Source organism: Homo sapiens, chromosome 9 (genome assembly GCF_000001405.40).
Source record: "Homo sapiens chromosome 9, GRCh38.p14 Primary Assembly".
NCBI classification, from domain to species: domain Eukaryota; kingdom Metazoa; phylum Chordata; class Mammalia; order Primates; family Hominidae; genus Homo; species Homo sapiens.
In genome coordinates this window covers 7,740,060-7,759,296 of record NC_000009.12, presented here as the reverse complement: position 1 = coordinate 7,759,296, position 19,237 = coordinate 7,740,060, and the positions used below count along the sequence as shown (strand labels likewise).

At 37.7% G+C, this 19,237-nt stretch overlaps 12 annotated features.

Annotated features, from left to right (window-relative positions):
- Positions 1-612: part of a meiotic recombination region, noted in NCBI's record as "meiotic double-strand break mapped by DNA meiotic recombinase 1 chromatin immunoprecipitation followed by single-stranded DNA enrichment and sequencing in the germ cells of some male individuals with the PRDM9 A/A and PRDM9 A/B genotypes", that runs on past the window's edge. NCBI's record gives the evidence for it as "EXISTENCE:chromatin immunoprecipitation-seq evidence [ECO:0000229][PMID:25395542]".
- Positions 1-1,405: part of a meiotic recombination region, noted in NCBI's record as "this region was identified as a recombination hotspot within the HapMap YRI population", that runs on past the window's edge. NCBI's record gives the evidence for it as "EXISTENCE:nucleotide sequencing assay evidence [ECO:0000219][PMID:20981099]".
- Positions 1-1,417: part of a meiotic recombination region, noted in NCBI's record as "crossovers mapped in sperm cells of males of European and African ancestries; recombination frequencies vary with PRDM9 genotypes, with PRDM9 A/A > PRDM9 A/N, where N is a non-PRDM9 A allele. Low recombination frequencies are observed with some PRDM9 alleles", that runs on past the window's edge. NCBI's record gives the evidence for it as "EXISTENCE:DNA detection assay evidence [ECO:0005519][PMID:20818382]".
- Positions 1-1,639: part of a biological region, named in NCBI's record as "meiotic recombination hotspot U", that runs on past the window's edge.
- Positions 1-1,639: part of a meiotic recombination region, noted in NCBI's record as "this region was identified as a recombination hotspot within the HapMap CEU population", that runs on past the window's edge. NCBI's record gives the evidence for it as "EXISTENCE:nucleotide sequencing assay evidence [ECO:0000219][PMID:20981099]".
- Positions 700-712: a nucleotide motif, noted in NCBI's record as "nucleotide motif; similarity but not exact identity (7/8 nucleotides) to the predicted 13-mer PRDM9 A binding motif (LD hotspot motif), CCNCCNTNNCCNC". NCBI's record gives the evidence for it as "COORDINATES:motif similarity evidence [ECO:0000028][PMID:20818382, PMID:19165926]".
- Positions 877-892: a nucleotide motif, noted in NCBI's record as "nucleotide motif; similarity to the predicted 16-mer PRDM9 C-type binding motif, CCNCNNTNNNCNTNNC".
- Positions 905-920: a nucleotide motif, noted in NCBI's record as "nucleotide motif; similarity to the predicted 16-mer PRDM9 C-type binding motif, CCNCNNTNNNCNTNNC".
- Positions 1,271-1,286: a nucleotide motif, noted in NCBI's record as "nucleotide motif; similarity to the predicted 16-mer PRDM9 C-type binding motif, CCNCNNTNNNCNTNNC".
- Positions 1,947-3,146: an enhancer, noted in NCBI's record as "BRD4-independent group 4 enhancer chr9:7756151-7757350 (GRCh37/hg19 assembly coordinates)". NCBI's record gives its function as "activates an origin of replication core promoter dependent on BRD2, P300/CBP, MED14 and CDK7 cofactors, and independent of BRD4, by STARR-seq in HCT116 cells {active_cell/tissue: HCT116}" and the evidence as "EXISTENCE:reporter gene assay evidence [ECO:0000049][PMID:35650434]".
- Positions 2,873-2,962: an enhancer, noted in NCBI's record as "active region_28212". NCBI's record gives its function as "activates an Ori minimal core promoter by ATAC-STARR-seq in GM12878 lymphoblastoid cells {active_cell/tissue: GM12878}" and the evidence as "EXISTENCE:reporter gene assay evidence [ECO:0000049][PMID:35858748]".
- Positions 3,083-3,132: an enhancer, noted in NCBI's record as "active region_28211". NCBI's record gives its function as "activates an Ori minimal core promoter by ATAC-STARR-seq in GM12878 lymphoblastoid cells {active_cell/tissue: GM12878}" and the evidence as "EXISTENCE:reporter gene assay evidence [ECO:0000049][PMID:35858748]".

The following is a 19,237-nucleotide window of genomic DNA, read 5'->3' as shown; positions in this document are numbered from 1 at the left end:
CTAAAAGTGTAATTATTTTAAGTATCTTAGTAGTTTAAGTATATCCTATTAAATGTTCTTTCAGATTATCCGCATATGCCAGTAGGAAGCATTTGAAAATCATGAATACATCACTAATTCTACCTGCATACTGGTTAAATACATGTATAAGTATATAGCAACTGTATTAGGGTTTTGCCTTAGTCATGTTATTAATTTAAAAATTAACCCTAGTTTTATTTTCTCATCCTGGAAAATACATTTCATAAATATTTTCATGGTGCACCTGAAATCGTTAAGCAAATTTGCTATTGGAGCTCATAAAAAGGCCACTTATCTAAATTTAACAAAATAATACAATAAAAACTGAGGTATTTTGAGCTCTAACAGTCTTCTCTCTGCCTTCAGTGGCCTGGCATAATTTATCTGAATTCATTAATTCATTCATTTACCCATGCAGCAAACATTTTATTTATTCTACAATATTAATTTGTCACAGTTTGTATGTCAGGCACTGTGCTGATCATTTGGAATATACTATACAATTCCCTTTTCTTGGGGAATCAAAATGTAATAAGAGGTGTGGGCAGGAAGATTCATCACAAAGCACAGCCATGAGTGTAGTTACAAGGTGAGTGCTTGGAAGACACAGAACATGATTCTGTGAGCTCTCATAACAAAGGAACCTAATCTGGACCTGGAATGGAAAGAGTGAGGTAGGAGGTGATGGGTGTTGCATGCATTAGAGTAAGGCAGAAGCAGAGAAGCCTTTCTTAAGAAAGTGGAATATGAACTGAGAGCTTAGATTATGAGGGCCAAAGTAGGAAAACTTCCTTTAGCAGGAGGGAACATAGCATATTTAAGGATCTGAAAGAAGCCAATGTACTTGAGCTTTGAGAAATGAGCAAAGAGGAAGATAAAGCTGGAGAAGCAGACAGGGGTAAGAGGTGGGGGATGTATAATCCATGTTGAGAGCTTTAATTTTCTTTATTTATGTTTTTGCATAGCAATAAAAAGCCATCCAACTCCTCAAGTTCCAGGTCTCATATCAGCTTCTAGGTTTACAAAAGCAAATAAAATAGGCCACTTCATAGCCCAGTGGAGAATTATGGATAATTAAATAATAATCATAGCACAGAATGGAAAATACTATGATGGAGACAAGTGAAGTGTTCAATGGGAATGCTACGGAGTGCACGTAACTCATACTGGGAATCAGGGCAGGCTTCCTGGAGGAACCCATACCCAAAATGAGTCTCAAGAATATGTATCCTACATACATGACTGCCCACCCCTATAGCCCTACCCAAACACAGATATGTTGGGCAAAGTGTAGGCTGTGGCCTCAGACTCGTGGTTTTGCTGTTGTCTACATGACTGGTCCCTGTGGAATCAAACTGGCAAAGATCATAGCATTCTTTTGCAAGGCCTGGTGCCACCAGGAGACCTCTCCTAAAAGGTATGTCTTTACTGAGTCTCTACTATGCATAAGCCAGCGACTGGTCTCAGCATCAGAAACATGACAAATACGAACCCACTAATACACATGGTTGTCATCGCACAGAAGTTTTGCAAAATAATAAGGAATTCTGGCTAAGTTGGAGCTTAGAATCATAGACATGTCCCAAGTGGGAGTTGGGGATACCTCTTTGCCCAAGTATTTATTTGGAAAAAGGAAAAAAGCTTTGTTGGTTTGTTTTTTTCAAAGAGCACTAGAGGAGAGATGATGCCAGTGGAGGAGAGGTATGGTATCTCTTCTTCCTGGGGGACAGAAATTTATTTGATTAATTGCTTATTTGTTTCAGTTAAGATGAAGGGAGGAAGAAGTGTGGCCAGAACCTGGAAGAGTGTTTGGAAGATGTGTAAGACCTTGGGCATAAGCAAAACTGGTTCAGGCCCTAAGTAAGCAAGTGTGAAATTGAGTTAAGGAAAAAAGGACTTTCTTACCACCACCCATACTTAGCCTAGGTCTCAAAGCAGTCATGACACCCCGAGGACTCAGCAAGTCTTCCAGAGGAGAAGGTCTGGGCCCAGTGAAACAGCAGGAGTGCATGCAGCACACAGCACTGGTAGACAGGCCACAATTCTCCCAGATGCCCAGCAAGTAGTTTGGTCAGGTCTAATGCAAGCATGAGTGAACTTGTCCTTGCACGTGTGTGAGCTGCTTCTTTCTCCTTAGTTCTCTCAGAAATAACCAGTAGAGTATTCTGGGTGCTGACAGCCAAGGCCCTGCAATGATCAGGTAGGAGCCACAATTAATCCAAATCTGGGCATCAACATTCATACGTCAGCATTTATATTCAGAAGATAATGGAGTCAAAGATGTTCCATTTATTTCAGATTGGCTTGCACAGAGCTAAGCTCTGAGAGGAGAAGAAATAGAGCAACTAACACATTTTTGGCTAACCTGCTGGAAAACTTTGGACAAATCATTTTGCCTTGTTGGGCTTCAGCATTCTCAAATATTAAATGGGATAAAAGGTGGAAAAAAATTAATAATCCTTAATCCAGTAAGCAAAAGGCTCAAAGCAAAGTGTGGGTTCAACTTTGGTAAAGTATGTCTAAGAATCATTGGATTGATCAAAGTCTGAAGCCCTCAGCTTTCAGTAAACAAGAAAATTTCCTTCTGATGTAAGTTCCATTTATCTGGCTTCGTTTCTATGGGAATCCCTACACTCCACTGTCTTCCTGTCCTGACCCTCAGTTCTGTAGCAGTTCTGAGCCTCACCTCTAGCAACAGTGGGCTTAAAATAAATCTTTAAAGCCTGCTTTCACCAAGTAGACATCTACTCTAAATTCCTCAATGGCTGCTTTGACATTTGTGATGCTTCCATAACTTTAAAAGTATGGATTTGCAAGGTGTAATGAGGCTATTTCAGACATCAGAGAAGGAAACCAATAAAACTTGGTGACTGATGAGGTCTGGTGACTAGTATAGGGGTGAGTCTATTAATTGAAAAAATGGTGGTGCTGTTTAAAATGGAAGTTGAAACAGAGCAACAGAGAGCTGGTTTAGAGGTAAAGGAAATGACTCATCTTGAGACCTACTGAGTCTGAGATGCCAGCAAGACAAAGGCTTGGGGGTTTCCCACAATTGAAGCATAGAAGAAAGCCAAAGGTTTACAGGGAAAGCAAAAGAATAGAATAATATTTATTGAGCACTTACTATATACCATTCCTGAACTAGACATGCTACAGCAGTGTTCTAAGTTAATTCTCACAATGAAGTAAGAATACTCATTTCATTTTATAGATAGGGAAATCAAAATTGGGGGAAATTGAGTCACTGGCCCAATGTCACACATCTTAAAAGACCTGGACTTGAACACAGATCACTTTGACATCAAAATGTTTACAATTTTCACTGCACTGTGCCTCCCTTGTTAGGGCAAAAGAACAAAGCTGGAACCTGAATCTTGATGATTTCTGTGTGTGATGTTTGGTTTGTGCTTTAAGCATCTAGTTTTATAGTCCCTGCTATGTAAAAATAAAATACTATTTATGTTTTATTTTGACACGCAGCTGAGTATCATCATTCCAGTTTTTGAGACATGAAAGGTTTGAGCTCACTTTGGAAGCTAGGATCCTTGTTTTCCATTTGGGAACCAGTGGGATGCTGAAATTAGGGCCTAAACATCCCCTTGAAGCTGGCTAGCTTCTCTTGGTTCTTTAGAGCATCTTTATATTTTGCAGCTAGCCTAGTGACCAAGGGCAGAAAACCAAGGAAGGACCCCAGAACCAAGGGCTAGGGAAACTTGTTCCTGTGGTGCTGGCTGCCGGAAAGACCACCCCAGCATGAGAACAGCCCAAACCTGCTCATGTTGGTCTCCCCTTGTCTAAGAGTTTGAAGATAATGAAATTGCTTTGGGGTTTGTGCTTTCCACTAAGACCCCTATGCCTGAAACAGAGCTGCTTAGGCCACTATAGCTAGCTGGGAAGAGCTCCTGCTGGCCCTTGCTTGCTCTCCCTGGCTTGGGGGCAGCCACATCTCCGTTTCGGTCATTTGTTTCAAGTTTTCTGAAAATGGAAATCTTGGATCCAAGATAGTGCAGAATCTCCCTCTTTCAGATGCGTTTTTCTCACAGATAAGATAGCTGTTACAATTGAGATGTAAATCACATCTCCATGGCTTGCTTCTTAGGGAAGGCAGTGGAAACCCACTAACGTAAATAGAACATAATGTCCAGTTTGTATCAAGTTGTCTTCACAGCTTTGGCTGGTGGAACAGTTCTACTGAGGCCCACGAAGATATGCTTTGGAAGAGGTTATATGGTGCTTTACAAGGTAAGGCACAGTACAAAAATGGGCCATTTTCTGATGGCTGCCCCTATAAAGGAGTTCTGCGAACTAGACGGTGGAACAAAATAAGATACTCTCTTCCTAATCAAGCCAAGTCATTTGTCTCAAATGCCAGAGATTAACATGAATGCCAGGACAGCCACGCCCCATCCCCTGGCAGACCGCAAGTGCTCTCCCTTAAGCTCAGAGTCCCTCCAAATTCTTTCATTTGCATTTTCTGGGTTTGTCTCTCTTTCAAAACCCTCTCCTGTTTGTCAGATTAACCCCTGTACTAAATCCTTCTCATAGACTTGGCTCAGGTATCACCTTCTTTGAAAATCGTTGACCTCTCCAATCCAGGCTCCTTCAATATAATCCTTTTTGGTGTTTTAGCACCTCCTGTATCTTTGTAATACTGATGGTATTATGTTGGTGCAAAAGTAATTGCAGTTTTGCCATTACTTTTAATGGCAAATTACTTTTAAATTACTTTTAATGACAAAACCGCAATTACTTTTGCACTAACCTAATATTTACTATGTCGTTCTGTAAGTGTCTTTTTATGTTTCTGTTCTTCCTGTTGGGTTAGAAATGAGCTAGTTGCTACTCAAACATATTTTCCTTCTTCCTCCTGGGCACAGTGGGGGACTATACCTCCCAGGCTTTTTCAGTTAGATAAGATCATATGTTGATGAGATGGGACAAGCAGGAGATGGTGGCATCTTCCACATTCTCTCTCTTCCTTTGTCTGCTGACCAGATGTGGAGAGAGTGAAGGGCTCCAAGGTTCTAAGGATGGTGAAGCCATAAAAACAAAGTCTTGGTCCTTAAAAGCCTGATTGAGAGAGTGTCCCTTACTGCTGACGTATGTTATACTGGGACTTGAGCAAGAAACTAACGGCTAAAATATCTAGGATGGTTTTACAACAGCTAGTCTGCTCTGAGTTATGCTTTCTTACTTAACTATAGGCTCCTGGAGGGACCATATCTTATGAGTTCAGTAGCTAGCAGAGTGCCTAAAAAATAGCAGACACTCAATATTGAGGAATAAAAGCATCTTGCATTTACTTTGTTGATCAAGTTTCTCACAAGAAAAGTTATCAAGTTAAATCATTTTTATTTGTAATTGCATTGATAGTTTTTTATAAACTAACCAAAAACTTTACTTTTATTCTTGCCACGAGATCTCTTACTATGATTCTGTACACTGTGAACCTAAGTTTAAGTAGTAAGTTGAGTTGGTATAGGCAATAGAATAAGGCCCTAGAATGTAATTATCAAGGTCTCCTTCCAGATTGGTGTCCATCCATTAATCAATACTCCTTGGATATTCAACAAGCAATTAAACTAGCAATTATTTAGCCAGCAATTAAACTAGCTAAACCTACTATTATTAGAGTGCACATTTTCCATTTTGTTAGCAAGAAAATCTTTGATGCCTTGATAAATTTAGCTTCCTCATTTCTATAGCATTCCCCTAATTCAGAAAGTGTTTTCCCCTCTGTGAAAAAATTTTCTATTGTCCATATCCACTGCCCTACCACCTTTCTCATTGTCTGTGATTTCTCAAAGATGACAAACAGTGGTCCCACAATCACATTAGACAATTCCTTTACTCCCTACAGAGGTAATTCACCTGCATTTGACAACTTGAACTAAATTCAAGAAACTAGGCAATGTCTTATAATTGGTCTCCAATTCTCTCTTAAAAAAAAAGTCTGGTTTATGCTTTACAATTGAAGAGGCCTGGCAGCTCTTCACTCCTTGTTAACTCAACATTATTTGCAGCCAGGCAGGGGTCTTGTCTCTCCCTCCCTCCCAAAATCTCCTCCTTTTTTATTTTCTTCTTTCTTTTAAATTGAGGTGAATTCACATGACATATGATTAACAATTTAATACACTGAATTAAGCGTATGATTCAGTGGCATTTATACATTCACAATAGTGTGCAGCACCACCACTCTCTAGTTTCAAAATCTTTTCATGACCAGGCGTGGTGGCTCACGCCTGTAATCCCAACACTTTGGGAGGCCAAGGCAGGAGGATCTGCTTCTGTCCAGGAGCTTGAGACCACGTTGAGCAACATAGTGAGATCCCAGCTCTACAAAAAATAAAGAAATAGACGGGCATGATAGTGCATGCCTTTAGTCCCAACTACTCTAGAGGCTGAGGTGGGAGGATTGCTTGATCCTGGGAGGTCAAGGCTGCAGTGAGCCATGCTCATATCACTGCACTCAGCCTAGATGTCAGAGCAAGATCCTGTCTCAAAAAAAGGAAAAAAGTTTTCATTACCCCAGAAGAATGCCCCATACCCATTCAGTAATCCCTCCCTGCTCCCTCCTCCCCCTATCTCCTGGCAACCTCTAATCTGCTTTCTGTTTGCATGCATTTGACTATTCTGGATATATCATATGAAAGGAATTACACAATATACGATCATTTGTGTCTGGCCTTTTTCATTTAGCATAATGTCTCTAACCCTTTTCCCATTTAGAAAAAAAAAGTGAAGCTCGCTGTGAGTGCTCATTCAATTTTACACAAACATGCTCTTTGAGGCTGAAGCAAATCTGACTGATTTTCAACGCGAAAATAAAACATAAAAACTGTTCTTGGAGTTATTTCTAAACAAAAATAACATCAGAATTGTCTGAATCATCAGAATCGTCTATTTCTGAAAAATTGGATTTATCAAATGAATCTTTGGCTAACTGTTGGAAAATGATGTTAACTTCATCCATAGGAATGCAACATTTTCTAGGATTTGACATTTTCAGCCATCAAAGTACTACTATATTTTGTAAATGGGAATACCACTACTAAAAACAGAATGCTATAAGTAGGATGATGTCTTTTGTTTCCAAAGTCAATATACTAGAGCAATGCAAAAATAATAACAAAAGCAGGATAGTTCATGGCAAAGTTATCTTGGGGTAAACGCTGTGGCTGCAAGTGCCTTCTGCGAGTATTCTCGGGGCAAACAGGAAAGTTCATCCAAGTTGTGCCATATGTCAATATATCATTTTTAAAAGTTACTTTATTTTTAAATTGACAAATGACAAATTGTATATATTTATGGTTTACAATGTAATGTTTTAATATTTCACTATTTGTATGGCTGAATCATATTCTATTTTATGTATATAACACTATTTATTTATCCAGTCATTCTTTTATGGACACCTGAGTTGTTTCCATTTTTTCCTATTAATGAATAACGCTAATATAGACATTCATATACAAGTTGCTGTGTGGGCATATGTTTTCATGTCTCTTACATATATACGTAGGAGTGCAGTTGCTGGGTCATATGGTAATTATTATGTTTAACTTTTTGAAGAATCTTCAAACTTTTTCTCAAAGTGGCTGCATGATTTTACATTCTTGCTAGCAATGTAAAACATTTCTATTCCTCCATATCTACACCAACAATTATTTTCTTTTTTGTTTTTAAAATTATACATATTTTAATTTTCATTTTTGTTTTTATTATTTTAAATTATTTACATATTTATTAATAGTATGATTATTTTTAGCCTTTCTAGTAGGTATAAAGTGGTATCTCATTGTGGTTTAAGGGATTTATTTTTCTTTTCTGTGTTTTTGAGACAGAGTCTCACTCTGTCACCCAGGCTGAAACTCAGTGGCTTAATCATGGCTCACTGCAGCCTCAACCTTCAGGGCTCAAGTGATCCTCCCACCCCAGTCTCCCAAAAAGCTGGGACTATAGGCACAGGCCACCATACCTGGCTACTTTTTGTATTTTTTGTAGGGATGGGGTTTCACCATGTTGCCCAGACTGATCTCAAACTTTGTGGTTTTGATTTTCACTTCCTTAATTATCAATGATGTTGGACATTTTTTCATATGGTCATTGACCATTTGTATATCTTCTTTAGAGAAAAGTCTCTTCAGATCCTTTGTCCACTTTTTAAATTGGGTTGTTCATCTTTTGTTGTTGAGAGCTGTAGATTTCATTTATATTTGGGTATTAAGCCCTTCTTACATATATGATTTGCTAATATTTTCTCCTGTCCTGTAGGTTTTCATGTTTTTGATAATGTCCTTTGATGCACAAAAGGTTTTAACTTTTATAAAGTCTAGTGTATCTATTTCTCTTCTTTGTTGTGTGTTGTTTGTGTTTTTGGTGCCAAATCTAAGAATCCATTGTCATATCCAAGGTCATGAAGATTTACTTGTATGTTTTTTTCTAGTAGCTTTATTGTTTTCACTCTTATATTTAAGCCATTTATCCTATTTGGGTTAGTTTTTGTAATGGAGTGAGGAAGAGTCTAAATTCATTCTTTGGCATGTGCCTTTCCAGTTGTCCCAACACCTTTTGTTGAAGAGACTACTCTCTCCCTGTTGAATGTTGTTGGCATCATTGACTACAGATATTTAGGTTTATTTCTGGATTCTCAATTATATTTCATTGGTCTGTATGTCTATCATTATGCCAGTACCACACTATTTTGATTACCGTAGCTCTGTAGTAAGTTTTGATATTGCGCAGTGTGAGTTGTCCAACTTTATTTTTCTTTTAAAATATTCTTTTGGCTATTCAGGGCCCCTTGGAATTTTACATGCATTTGAAGTTTGGCTTTTCCATATCTGTGAAAAGGCCATTGGAATTTTGGTAGGGATTGCATTGAACCTGTAGATTTCTTTGGGGAATACTGCCATTTTAACAATACTAAGTCCTCCAGTTCATGAACATGAAATGTCTTTCTATTTAATTAGGTCTTTAATTCTTTTGGCAATGCTTTATAGTTTTTATGAAGAATTTTACCTCCCATTTCTAGGTGTTTTATTCTTTTGGATGTTATTGCAAATGGAATTCTTTTCATAATTTCCTTTTTGGATTGTTCATTGCTGGTATACAGAAACACAACTGATTTTTATGTGTTATTCTTGTATCCTGCAACTTTGCTGAATTCATTTATTACCTCTAGTAGTTATTTTGTGAATTCTTTGAGATTTTCTATTTATAGAATCATGTCATCTAAAAATAGATAGTTTTACTTCTTCCTTTCCAATTTGGATGGTTTTTATTTCTTCTCCAACCTAATTGCCCTGGCTAGAACTTTCAGTAAAATATTGAGGAGTAGTGGTAAAAATGAACATTCTTGTCTTGTTCCTGATCTTAGAGAAAAATATTTTAGTCTTTTACTATCAAGTATGTTAACTATGGATTTTTCATAAATGCTATAGAAATTCTCTTTTGCACTTAGTTTGCTAAGAGATTTTTTTTTCCACAAAAGAGTGTTGAATTTTGTCAAATGCTTTCTCCACATCTATTGAAATGCAGGAATTTTTTTTTCCCCTCATTTTGTATTACATTGATTGACTTTATATAGAACCACCCTTGCATTCCTGGGTTAGATCCCAGTTGGTCATGGAATGAAACATACTTTTAATGTGCTGCTAGGTTTAATTTGCTAGTGTTTTGTTGGGGATTTTTGCATCTGTATTCATTAAGGGTATTGCTCTGTAGTTCTTTTCTTGCGGCATCTTGTCTGGCTTTGGTGTCTCTTTTCTACTTGATCAGGTTTTTTTTGCTCTGAAAACACCAGGAAAGGCTCTTTCAGTTGTTTGCAAGTTTTGCAATTCTCATCTCATTCTGGACTTTAGTTGTCCTGAAGTATTGTTTCTATACCTGTCTTTATGATATGCACTTCTTCCCTCCTTCTACACATGCATCTTTATATGTTTTAACTCTTTACTCATCTTTGCACACATTAACTTATCAGAGAGCTTCCTGTGCAGTAACACAGATGTCTCTCATTTCTTTCTCTTCAGGAGCAATCATGACTACTGGCAGTGTTTCCTGTCTTAAAGCTCATCATTCCTCTCTGTACTCCGTGAGGGTGGAAATAAATGTGCTTTGCTAGGCACTGAGCATAATGTGTTGTACAGTCAATGGTAAACACTAAATAAATATTTATCTAATAAGTAAATAGTGACAATATTAATGGAGTTCTTATTATATGCCAGGGACTGTTCTCAGCACTTTTCATGAAGTAGTTCATTTTTTCCCTCCTGCTAACTTAGGAATCAGGTATTATAATTTTCCCACTTGACAGACATGAAAATTGAGGCACAGAAATGTCAAGTAACTTGCCTAATGTCACAAATCTAAGAAGTGGCAGAGACAGCACTCAAATCTAGGCTGTCTGATTTTAGACTCATCCTCTAAATCACTGGTGTCTACTGGAATAGACAGAATAAATGAAGAGGCTCAGGCCATGTGCTTATTCATATATTTACTCTGAACATTTTTTAAGGTTTAGATTTCTAAATATAATGTAAGGCACATAGCTGATTATACCTGCTGTTCTCTGTCTTCACTGTTACAAAACTATGTTCCTGCTTCATTTTCCGTCTTTATTAATTACATCCCAAGCATCCAGTCACTCCGATTTGTATCAGCTCCTTCCTCCTGCACTGGCCTCTTTAAAACCCTATTCAGGATTAGTTACCAAGTTCTGGGAATCAGTGGTTCCAAGTTGGCATGTTAGACTACCCTGTCAATCAGCTGCAAAATAATTTACTATTGCTAATAATAAAATGCCAAAGTTATAAATGATTTACTTTTTGACAAGTATATCAAATAGAGGGGAGTCAAAATCAACTCTATAAGTCATCATTCTCACTCATATAAAGTCTGATTTTTTTTCTTCTAGAGGAATGGATAGAAGTGAGCCCAGCAAGCTGGGAAATGTACATATCACTAAATAGGCCCACAGAATTGAATAGTACAAATGATCTTTATCATGTGTGACAGCCGGACAAAAAGGGTAGACAACTTCTGCTGTGGAATACATCTCCCCTATGTCTCTAAGATTTACATCCTTTTCCTGCCATTTTTTTTTTCCACCACCATGCCTGGTTTAGATTTAGATTAGTTAGCTTCCTAGATGATCTCCCTGTTTCTTATCTCTATCTTCTGTCCCCCACTGTATACTGATTTTCCTAGAGTACTTTGATGCTCCATCACATCCTTTTTCACCCAACAATGTCCTCCAAAGGTATTTGCATCACCCTTAAGGTGTCTCCACCTGCTTTATCTCAAGTGACTCCCTTTCTCCTCCTCTGTATGCCAGATAAACAGGATAACCTTGCTTTTCCAAACTTTCCAGGTCATTCCTCTGAAATTACCTTCCCCTATTTTTTTTTTAAATAAGATTCCTCCTTTTCAAGAGCCAGCTGGAAAGCAAACTCTAAAGTTCTATGTGTACTGACATGCAAAGATCTCCAACATATACTGTTAAGTGCAAATAGCATGTGCAGAAAAGTATGTATAATGTACTACATTTTTAGTAAAAAGTAAAAAATGGAGAAAAGGAAGAATACTTATATCAGCATTTTCTTTTTTGGCTTAGATTTGTAGAAAGGAACTCTGAAAGAACATAAGGGACTTTCTTGTTTGGGTTGGTGGGGCTGGAGATGATGGGAAAAAGAGATGAGAGGGAGGCTTTTCACCAGATACCATAAGTATCAGTCTTGTTCATGAGAAGATATTACCTTAGAAATAAAAATTAATAAGCAATCACCAAAACTAAAGCAACCTCTAAAAGGCATTTCTCAATATCCTGCTCTATGTTCCCAAAGCACATCATATGCAACATTTTCACAGCGTATTTCATATTATGCCTTAGGTTTGAGTTATTTGAGTTTCTTTCTTGAATCTTAAAATATGCTTTAAAGAGTTTAAACAGGCGTCCTGACTTATTCGGTTTTGTTCTCTCATTATGACTAATAACAATGCCGTATATGTGGCTGGTGATTAGGATATTCCTGAACTTGAGGAAAACTGCTTCCCAGCCTCAAAGGTCTGACGCTCAACGGAAACATCTCCTCACTAGTACTAGAGAAGCAATTGACGATGTTTCCTTTCTCAGTATGTTCAGAAGTAAGAGGGATCTTAACAGAAGATAAATGAGTCTTCCGATTCATTGACCCTTTCAGGCTCATTGGCATCATTCATTTGTGCATTCACTCACTCACTCGTTCATTCAATAAGTGTATATTTAGTGCCTAATTTGTGTCAGGCACTGTGCAAAACATTGAGCATCCAGTGATGAGAGAAAAAAGGTACAAGTAAATACAAGATATATTTGTATTATAAATTTAAATCATGACCAGAGCAGGAAGGAAACATGGGTAATGGTAGAGACTGAAGTTTTATTTGCAGGCTTCCCAAGTCCCGCCATGAGCATTCCTCAGCAAAGTGTTTAGTATTCCAAGATTCCTTCCTTTTTTTTCTTTGGCTTAAGAAACAAAAATCCTTGTCTCACAGTTCTGCAGGCTGGGAAATCAAGATCAAGCTGCTGGCAGATCTGGTATCTGGTGAAGGCACTATTGCTGGTTTTCAGATGGCTGTCTTCTTGTTGTTTCTTCACATGGCAGAGAATAAACAGCATGAGCAAGCTCCTGTACCTCATAAGAGCACTATTCTCACTCATGAAGCTTCCATCCTCATCATCTAATTATCTCCAAAGGCCTCGCTTCCTCATACAATCACATTGGATATTAGGATTTTAACATATAAATCCTGGAGAGACACAAACATTCAGTCCATAGCATTTCACCTCTGCCTCTCCCCCAGCAAACTTACATCCTTGCATGCAAAATACTTTCACTTCATCCCAGGAACCCCAAAAGCCTGAACTAGTTCCAGCATCAATTTGAAAGTTTAAAGTTCAAAATCTCCTGTAAGTGAAATATGGATGAGACTTAGGTATGTTTTGTCCTGAGGCAAAATTCTTCTCTGGCTGTGAACTTGTGAAACCAAAGTTCTATTCTTCCAAAATACAACAGTGGGACAGATATATAATAGACATTCCCATTTCAAAAGGGAAAAACAGAAAAGAAGAGGCAACAAGTCCTAAGCAAATTCAAAACCTAGAAAGACAAGCTGCATGAGCACTTACAGGTTGAAAATAATCCTCTTTGGCTTTATGTTCTGCCTTCTGAACTCACTGGGGCAGCAGTCCCACCCCCAGGACCCATTGGGGTGGTGGTCCAGCTTCCTCAACAGCAGAAGTCAAGTGCCCCAGGTTGTGGGTGAACTCACCCCCACACAAGATTACTTTTTGTTCCTCTCACCAATCCATCTTAATTCTTTCAAATATATTTTTATTGATAGCTTTTTTGTTGTTAATTTAAATGAACTTCTTAATGGTGAAATCTTATCTCGTGGGAAAGCATTGTAAATAAGGAAATCTAGACATCTAGAGGGATCCATGTGAAAAAAGATTCAGCTTGAGCAAGTCCTCAGAGTAGCTTCCATTTCTCCTGATTCTCTATAGGATCCCAGGGGTGTCTGACATGATTGTATAGGTGGGGCACCAGTTGCAATCTTTTATATGAGTTACTTATTAGGTATGTCTCAATTTATGGATTTACTTTTAATTAAGCCCCAAACTGGTGAAGATTTGCTTCTTGAATTAAAAAAGAGCTATGACACACACACACAAACACACACAAACCTAGGAATACATCTAATCAAAAAGGTAAAAGATCTCTACAAGGAGAACTACAAAAAACTGCTGAAAGAAGTCATAGATGAGACAAACAAATTGAAAAGCATACCATACTTAAGGATTGAAAGAATCAATATTAAAATGTTCATACTTCCCAAAGCAATCTACGGATTCAATGCTATTCCTACCAAACTACCAACATCATTTTTTCCCACAGAATTTTAAAAAACTACTCTAAAATTCATATGGAGCCAAAAAAGAACCTGAATAGCCATAACAATGCTAAGTTAAAAGAACAAAGCCAGAGGCATCACATTACCTAACTTCTAACTGTACTATAAGGCAACAGTAGCCAAAACAGCATGGTACTGCTACACATACACCAATGGAACAGACTAGAAAATCCGAAGCCACACACCTACAATCATCTGATCTTTGACAAAATCAACAATAGTAAGCAATGGGGAAAGACTCCTTATTTAATAGATGGTGCTGGGATAACTGACTAGCTATATGTAGGAGAATGAAACTGGACCTCTACCTTTAATCATATACAAAAATTAACTCAAGACAGATTAAAGATCTAACTGTAATACCTCAACCTATAAACATCCTAGAAGAAAACCTAGGAAATTCCCTTCAGGCCTTAACAAATAATTTATGTCTAAGACCGCAAAAGAATTGCAACAAAAATAATTCTTTATTTAGTTTTGTTGTTGTTTTTTGTTTTTTGTTTTTGTTTTTGTTTTTGTGAGACAGGGTCTGGCTCTGTTGCCCAGGCTGGAGCAGAGTGGTGTGATTATACCTCACTGCAACATCCACCTCTCAGACTCAAGCCAACCTCCCAACTTAGCCTCCCAAGTAGCTGGGACTATAGGTGCCCACCACCACGCCTGGCTAAGTTTTATATTTTTGTAGAGACGGGGTTTTGCCATGTTGCCCAGACTGGTCTGCAACTCCTGAGCTCAAGTGATCCATCTGCCTTAGCTTCCTAAAGTGGTAGGATTACAGGTGTGAGCCACTGCACCTTGCCAAAAAAACAAAACTTGACAAATAGGAGCTGATTAAACTAAAGGGCTTCTGTACCTCAAAAGAAACTATCAACAAAGTAAACAGACACCATAGAGAATGGGAAGAAATATTCACAAACTATGCATTTGACAAAGGTCTAATATCCAGAATCTGTAAGGAACTGAATTCAGCAACTGAAAACCAAATAACCCCATTAAAAAGTGACTAAAGAACATGACAAGAGACCTCTCAAAAGAAGACATATAAAAGGCCAATGAACATGAAAATATGGTCAAAAATCACCAATCATCAGAGAAATTCAAATCAAAACCACAATGTAATACCATCTCATTCCAGCCAGAATAGATATTAATAGTCAAAAAATAGATGCTGGCAATGCTGTGGAGAAAAGGGAACACTTATACACTGTTGGTGGGAATGTATATTAGTTTAACCACTTTAGAAAGGAGTTTAAAGGTTTCTCAAAGAACTTAAAATGGAACCACCATTTGACTCAGCAATCTCATTACTGGGTATACACCCAAAGGAAAATAAGTCATTCTACCAAAAAGACACATACACTCATATATTTATTGCAGCACTACTCACAAGACAAAGACATAAAATCAACACAGGCGTTCATCAATGGAGGACTGGATAAATGTGGTACATCTACACTGTGGAATACCATGCAGCCAAAAAAAGAATGAAATCATGTCCTTTGCAGCAACATGGATGCAGATGGAGGCCATTATCCTAAGCAAATTAACGCAGGAACAGAAAGCCAAATACTGTGTGTTCTCACTTGTAAGCGGAGACTAAACATTGGGTACACATGGACATAAATATGGAAACAATAAACATTGGGAACTTGTAAATGAGGGAGAAAGGGAGGAAGGCAAGGGATGAAAAACTACCTATTGGGTACTATGCTCATGACATGAACGACAGGAACTTTCATACTCCGAAACTTAGCATCACGCAATATAACTATGTAAAAAACCTACAAATGTACCCCCTGAATCTAAAATAAAAGTTGAATTTATTTAAAAGACAGACAGAGAGAGAGAGAGAAATCGAGCTATGGCTTTATAAGAGATTGTCTGGTAGGAATGGCAGATATCTCTATAAATCTGAGATTTGCAAATCTAGTTGCATAGTAGAATCATCCAGGGATATTTTAAAAGTATTATGCTTCAAACCCACCTCTCATTTACTCTTAATTAATTGGTCTGGAGTGAAAGAAAGGGGGTTTGCAAGGCTGCCCAGCTGATTCTAAGGCACAGTTAAGGCTCAGAACCACTGTTATACAGCAGTTTGTAAGTGGAAGCTTGTGTCCTTGAGGGATTTATGATCTACCACAAGATAGAGTAAAATAAGAAAATAGGAGAAGTTCATATTGACTAAAAACAGTTGAATGAATGGTACAAAGATTCTTAATAGCAACATTTAACATTTGTTGCATTTGTTATAGGCAAAGACCACCTAAAACATTGGCTTTACTTCCCCTTTTTATAAGTTAGACAGTTGAGGCTTGTTCAAGTTAAATGATATGCCCTTGGTTCTGAGACTACTAAGTAAAAGGGAAAGAATTTGATATCATATTTTAGTTCAACTCCCAAATGCAAGCTTTTAAAAACTTGCCATGATGAGGCAAGCATTATGTTAGGCCTTTCACTTACATTATTTAATTTTTAGAATAATGCCAGCATCTTGGTATTATTAAGCAAAATGAAGTTTAGAAAATAACTAAACTTCCCAGGGTGTAGAGCCAGCCCTTTAGCAAGTAATTGGTTCATAATGGGTTTAGTTCTGACATAAGAAAAGGCGTAGAGGGCTTGTTTCCTCTCTCTCTTTCCAACATGTGAGGATACAAGAAAATGGCCATAAACAAGCCAGGAAGAAGGCCCTCAGCAGAACCCAATCATACTGGCATCCCCACCTTGCACTTCCTGCCTCCGGAACTGTGAGAAATAAATGTTTGTTGTCTAAACCACCCATTCTAATTCATTAGAGTAGCCCAAGCTAAGACAGTAACAAAACCAGAATCTAATCCTATGCCTGCCTGATTTCAAAATTATGTTCTTTTGTCCATACAGAACATAAAACTGTAAAAAAAAAAAAAAAAAAAAAAAAAAAAACCCGAAGGGTTTTTTTTTTTTTTCATATGTTACGTGCCCAATAAAAATTTATCTAATGATGATGGCCTTAAAACTAGACTGCTAGAAGTGAATGCAGATGACACTAAGGATGGGGTAGGGTAGGCAAGAAATTGGTGTTCATGAAATGGCAAGGTTTGGTCAGTGAAATGTAAGTTGTCTGGACTTGAGATACTTCATTTATTCAGGACAATAATAAGGAAGAACAAGTCACAATAATGAATTGACAATATAGACAAGAGGAAACAATCAGAACTCTAAAACCCCATCCTTGGGACCCAGAGCAGACTGGTCCCACTCATAAGCATTCTAAATCTAATTAGATTTAAAGAGTTAAAGATGGGAATTTTAGTGGATCTCACCAATTTGTCCTACAGATACGGACATTTCCCAGGTAGTTATCTTGCTTCTTAAACTGGCCTCCCCGCAATTAAGTAGTATATGCCAGGGAGTGCATGACTACATTTACAAATATGTCTGACAAAATAGCATGACTTTAAAAGACAGTATGAGGATTTTAAGTAACTGCTTTCTTTGCAAGGGAATCATTTTGGTAAAAGCTATCAGGAAACACAGAGATAGAGATGCAATTTTCCTTTCTGTGGGCTATCCTTCTGTGAAAAGTTTGTAAAACACTGTTGTCAAAGAGAAGTGGAAGTCTTGTACAAGAAATCAAAATATCAGGTTTGGAAAGGCTGGAAACGTTATCAAATCATGGTCAGCCATGACAAAGTCAGAATAAAGGTTGGGCAAAGTCAAGTGGAGATTTTTCCTTTTGACTTGACTTGAAGAGATTACAGAAAACCCAAAGTTAAGTACAGAAAAATAAAATTAAAAAAAGGCCAAATTCAATGGAATATACAGTCTCCCTCAGTATTCATGTGGTATTGCTTCCAGGACTCTCGTGGATACCAAAGCCTGTAGATGCTCGTGTCTCATGTATAATGGAGTCTTCTTAAATATAATCCATGTACATCCTCTTGTACATTTTAAATCATCTGTAGATTACTGATAGTACCGAATACAATGCCTACGCATCATTTCATCTGTGTGGACTCAGTGTAGTACTCAGCACCACAAAAATTCAAATTTTACATTGTGAGATTCTGTGGAATTTTTTTTCTGAATATTTTGGATCCTCAGGTGGTTGAATCCATGGATGTGGAAACCATGGATATGGAAGGCTGACTACTTGTAATTAAGACTTACGGGTTTTAACTTTGGTCTTTGTGTGTAACTTTGAATATCACTTTTAGTTTCCCCATTCATAAAACAGAGATGGCAATATTTCAAGGCAAAACTATTTCAAGGATTCTATGATGATTAAGGAATAAACTATAAGGCACTTAGTGAATACAAAGTGCTGGAAGATGCAAAGCAATAAAATATCCTGGAAATTGTGTTTGTTTTTACAAACTTGAAACCTGTGGAACCTACTATTTGATTTATCTCTTTGTGAAAGGGAGTAAACGTGATTACAGGAAACCAAAGTGCACAAATTTTTGGATGTATAATAGCAGAAACTTGCCATGTACAGATTTTTCCCACTGGACCTGCGTTTATTTGAATTATTCTCTTGTCACTATTGTACACAAAGAAAGGGTGCTACTTTGTGACTCCACATTATGCTTCTATCAAACACATTCCTCAAGACTGAAGATGACAGCTCCCGTCCTCTCAGGAGACACAACACACTTCTCCATGTCCCTGTGCCCTTGTTCTGTGCTTTCTGAATTTGGGTGACAAGTCCAATGTCAAAAATGCAATGGGGACACATAGAATAAGCTAGCACAGAGGTTGCAAAAACAATGCAAACCGTTTTTTAATTAAAAGAAGTATAGACATATTATGGAATGAAAGGCAGCTTCACAGACACTTTAAAGCTAAAACACGAACATTTCGAAAGAAAAAGCCTTGCTCATGGCAGGCTACACAGGCTGTACTTTGACTACCCCAAAACGTCCACTGTAGAAAGCATCTCAGAGAAGACCCTTTCCAGAGCAGGGGAACAGTAGCAGCTAGGATAGCCATGCCCCTCTCATCTGTTGCCTCCCTGTTGGACTTCTGTACCCCTTCCTGCCTCAGTTGTCTCCTGTGGAAAATGCAGGAAATGAAAGTATATGCCCCTGCAGCCTGACACAGATGATTTTAAAATCAACTGAGATAAAATACATGAAAACGCTTTTAAAGCAGGAAATATCGGACAAATGGTAGTTGTAATTTTTTATTATAGTAGAGTGTAGAGAGTCTTTGTGCTTTACTTAGCACTTAAGCATTTAAATTATAATGTATCAATTTACATATATTAGAACTTCTTAGATTGTTTCAG